The 4,318-nt window shown below is 41.1% G+C and overlaps 1 pseudogene across 1 annotated transcript; it reads left to right on the forward strand.

The window, feature by feature from the left end:
• The first annotated feature begins 1,438 nt into the window (after positions 1 to 1,438).
• Positions 1,439 to 2,597, forward strand: UBE2E4P (ubiquitin conjugating enzyme E2 E4 pseudogene; annotated as a pseudogene). The gene has a single exon (NR_110506.1). The product of NR_110506.1 is annotated as a ubiquitin conjugating enzyme E2 E4 pseudogene (transcript).
• The last annotated feature ends 1,721 nt before the right edge of the window (positions 2,598 to 4,318 follow it).

Genomic DNA, 4,318 nt, shown 5'->3' on the forward strand with positions numbered 1-4,318 from the left:
AAGGCAGTCTTATGGAACCTCCTTTCTCAAGAAAATGTAAAACAATTCCATTTTTAATTTAGCACTGAGATTGCTCTTTCTTTGTCATAGTAATTATGGGCTTTTCTGCCAGGGTCCCATTTTTGCTTCTACTTTACAACATGGTCATGGCTGAATAGCTTTAATCAGGCACCAATTAGTCCCAACTCTATAACTCATTTAGGCTGGGTCTTTGGTGGTTGTGCTTTCTCCTTTCAAACTGGGAGGGAAATATTAGAAAAGTAAGAGCAAACGATCTCAATCCCTGTTGAATAATTTGTAAAGAGATATTTCTGTAACCTGCCCAATAAACTGGTTATCATATTAAACTCATTTTTAGCAGCTTATATTCACTTAAGCATTGCACCAGATGGTGGCTGTCAAAATGTTTCTTATAATTAGCATCAGTAAACTTCTCTCGGGCCTTTGAAATTCATTGCAAATCACATGTTGTCTATAATCATAAGATTGGAAATGTTATTAATATCCTGCTCAGTATTTTGCTACAGTAGTTTTTGTAAAACTGCATGGATCAATAGAGCCAACTTTTCTGTACTGTGCTGTCTCAAAGGCAGTTAAGTGGTAAATGTATCTATATCTAGATGTACAAATTGATTTGATCATTTTCATAGGGTTCAGTAATCAACTCTCAAAAATAAAGACCAGCCAAACCATTTATTTAGTTGAGCCTACAAATGTTCTGTTAATATTAACATATCTAGCAAAATAACCATTTTGAATCACATCATATTCCACTGAACTTGGTGTCTCAGTTATTGAATTAGTCAGATCTCTTTTGGTTGAAAATGACAGAACCCCTACTTGAACTTGTTTATGAAGAGGAAACGGGATTGAAATGAGAGTACATTTCATATGTTCTTACCACAAAATATGATTCATATTTGAGGTGATGAATATATTAATTAGCTTGATTCAAAAATTCCACATTGTATTCAGAAATCATAATATCATTTTGTACCCCATAAATATATACAACTATAATTTGTCATTTTACAATTCAAAATTAAAAGAAATGGGAGCCGAACCGGACGGCGGCGGCGGTGGCGGGAGGCTGCAGCGCGCGGGGGTCTCCCGCGTCCCCTCCGCCTCGCCCGGAGCTAGCGCCTTCGCTCAGCCGAGCTCCCACCCCACCCCCTTTTTTCCGAAGGCGCTGGGCGGCGCCACCCTCCGGCCGGAGCCAGGCACTGCCCAACCCCCTCCGACTTTCAATGTTCCACACTCCCCGGCCAGGCCAGAGCCTCCTCAGCTTCTTTTTGTCTCTCCCCCCTCCCCTCCCCCAACAGCTGCGTCCATTTCCTTAAGGAAGGGTTTTTTTTTCTCTCTCCCTCCCTCACACCGTAGCGGCGCGCGAGCGGGCCGGGCGGGTGGCCGGCCGAGTTTTCCAAGAGTTAGCTTCACCAAGATGTCCAGTGATAGGCAAAGGTCCGATGATGAGAGCCCCAGCACCAGCAGTGGCAGTTCAGATGCGGACCAGCGAGACCCAGCCGCTCCAGAGCCTGAAGAACAAGAGGAAAGAAAACCTTCTGCCACCCAGCAGAAGAAAAACACCAAACTCTCTAGCAAAACCACTGCTAAGTTATCCACTAGTGCTAAAAAAATTCAGAAGGAGCTAGCTGAAATAACCCTTGATCCTCCTCCTAATTGCAGTGCTGGGCCTAAAGGAGATAACATTTGTGAATGGAGATCAACTATACTTGGTCCACTGGGTTCTGTATATGAAGGTGGTGTGTTTTTTCTGGATATCACATTTTCATCAGATTATCCATTTAAGCCACCAAAGGTTACTTTCCGCACCAGAATCGATCACTGCAACATCAACAGTCAGGGAGTCATCTGTCTGGACATCCTTAAAGACAACTGGAGTCCCGCTTTGACTGTTTCAAAGGTTTTGCTGTCTATTTGTTCCCTTTTAATGGACTGCAACCCTGTGGATCCTCTGGTTGGAAGCATAGCCACTCAGTATTTGACCAACAGAGCAGAACACGACAGGATAGCCAGACAGAGGACCAAGAGATACGCAACGTAATTCACATAATTTGTATGCAGTGTGAAGGAGCAGAAGGCATCTTCTCACTGTGCTGCAAATCTTTATAGTCTTTACAATACGGACTTCTGTGTATATGTTATACTGATTCTACTCTGCTTTTATCCTTTGGAGCCTGGGAGACTCCCCAAAAAGGTAAATGCTATCAAGAGTAGAACTTTGTAGCTGTAGATTAGTTATGTTGAAAACGCCTACTTGCAAGTCTTGCTTCTTTGGGATATCAAAATGTATTTTGTGATGTACTAAGGATACTGGTCCTGAAGTCTACCAAATATTATAGTGCGTTTTAGCCTAATGCATTATCTGTATGAACTTATAAAAGTAGCTGTAGATGACTAGGAATTATGTCATTTGTATTAAACCCAGATCAATTTCTGAGTATGTGGTTCATGCTGTTGTGAAAAATGTTTTACCTTTTACCTTTGTCAGTTTGTAATGAGAGGATTTCCTTTTACCCTTTGTAGCTCAGAGAGCACCGGATGTATCATCTCAAACACAATAAACATGCTCCTGAAGGCATAGTTTCCTGTCGTAATATTTTAAGTCGGTCTTGTTAGAAGGTGTGTCTGAGATGACTGTTGATGAAATAAAAATGTGGCTATGAAGATTACTAAAGACTAGCACAAATAAACCAATTCTTGAATTGAAAACATTTTTAAAAAATTAAAGACATGGCACTGGGAATCTTAGTAACCAAACTTCTGAGGTGTACTGAAGGGTCCCAGGGATTATTAAGGACAGAAACTTGCTTGAAGAGCATCTAAGTTTGTGTTTTTAGTGCTCCTTAGAGAAACAAGTAAGGGAGCATGAGAAGCATGACAGAAAAGGGTACGAAGCCAAGCAAGAGGCTGTTCCAAGCCAAGTCTCAGCGTCAACCAAATCCTACAAGGGAGTTCTGAAGTGTAAATTATAACTCAGAGTTTGCTCCAACCAGAGGCAAGGGAGTTTGGTTTTCATACACCTGCACCAGTTAGTTAAACCCCACTCTCACCTGGGGAAACATAACCCCCAAGCACTTCTCTCTCCACCTATCAGGGCAAAGAGCTCTAGTAGCCCCAAAGATGACATCCTAAAAGAATCACAGGTATGGACCATTAGAGACAAAGCACACAGAAGCTGGGGAAGGAGTACGCAGGATGATTAAAGGGATTATCAGAGGGCTCATGGTGGGATGCTGAGAGTGTCCATGACAAACCCTATTTAAATTATTTTTTGACCTTTTCTCTGCCTGTTGTCTTTACCTTTTCCCCAAAATACTAGCTTCCTCCATGAGCCAGGGAACATGGTTGTCAATTACTCTTAAGTATCACATCCTGCAGGTTTCACCACCAAATTGGAAGCTTTGTACTCAGTGCCAGTTAGGAAAGTCATGAGGAAAGAAGAACTTGTATTGGCCTGGCTTGAATACAGTGCTCACTTTTGAACCAATCTAGCCTTGGGGACAGGGTGATATAAAAACATGGTGGCCCTACAAGAGCTACATTTGAAGTAAAGTAAGAAGCAGTTTCTAAAAGAAGAAGGGCTGTGATATTGCTAGAAGAAGGTAGATATGCTGATGAGACTAAAAAGAAACCAAACCCACTTGGTTGGAGAATGGGGTTGTCATGGTGAGAGTTACGTGTTCAGTCCTTATAGGACTTGTCAGTGCTCTACATAGAGAACCTAGTTAAGATTGCATCCTTACTATAAGTGGGTCTGCAGGTGCCAGTTTCTGGTCACAAAAAAAATATGCATATGAAAGAAGAAATTGCATATTATTTGCAGAAAAAATCTCAAATGGACACCCTGTTGGGGTACATACAAACATGAATTCAGTCTTCATTAATTTAGTCTATTGGATCCTTATGCATGGATTTCCTTGTTAAATACAAAAGGGATTTTCAATGTAGGAAATATACAGCTGGAGGGGGACTGGACCATTTAGATTACCTCAATTTATTCTCTTAGCCTGAGTTTTCTTTGTGAGGCTACAGATGCTTAATAACTGTTTAATCCAACTAGAGGCTCTTCTCTCTAGTATCTTAGAGGTGAGATACCTACATTTATTTCTTCAGTTTAAAGAGATGCTGTCTTTGCTCATTTAACACCACTTTCAACCTATGTCTCTGCTTCTGTTTATCAAGAATTTTTAGTGTAACATGCTCTGATATTAACATAGTCTTGCATGAATATTGCAATGTGCAGAGGGACAGTGTTGTTATCACGTATCAGCAGTTGGTGTTTATTGGTGATAAA

This window comes from Homo sapiens, chromosome X (genome assembly GCF_000001405.40).
Source record: "Homo sapiens chromosome X, GRCh38.p14 Primary Assembly".
NCBI lineage: Eukaryota > Metazoa > Chordata > Mammalia > Primates > Hominidae > Homo > Homo sapiens.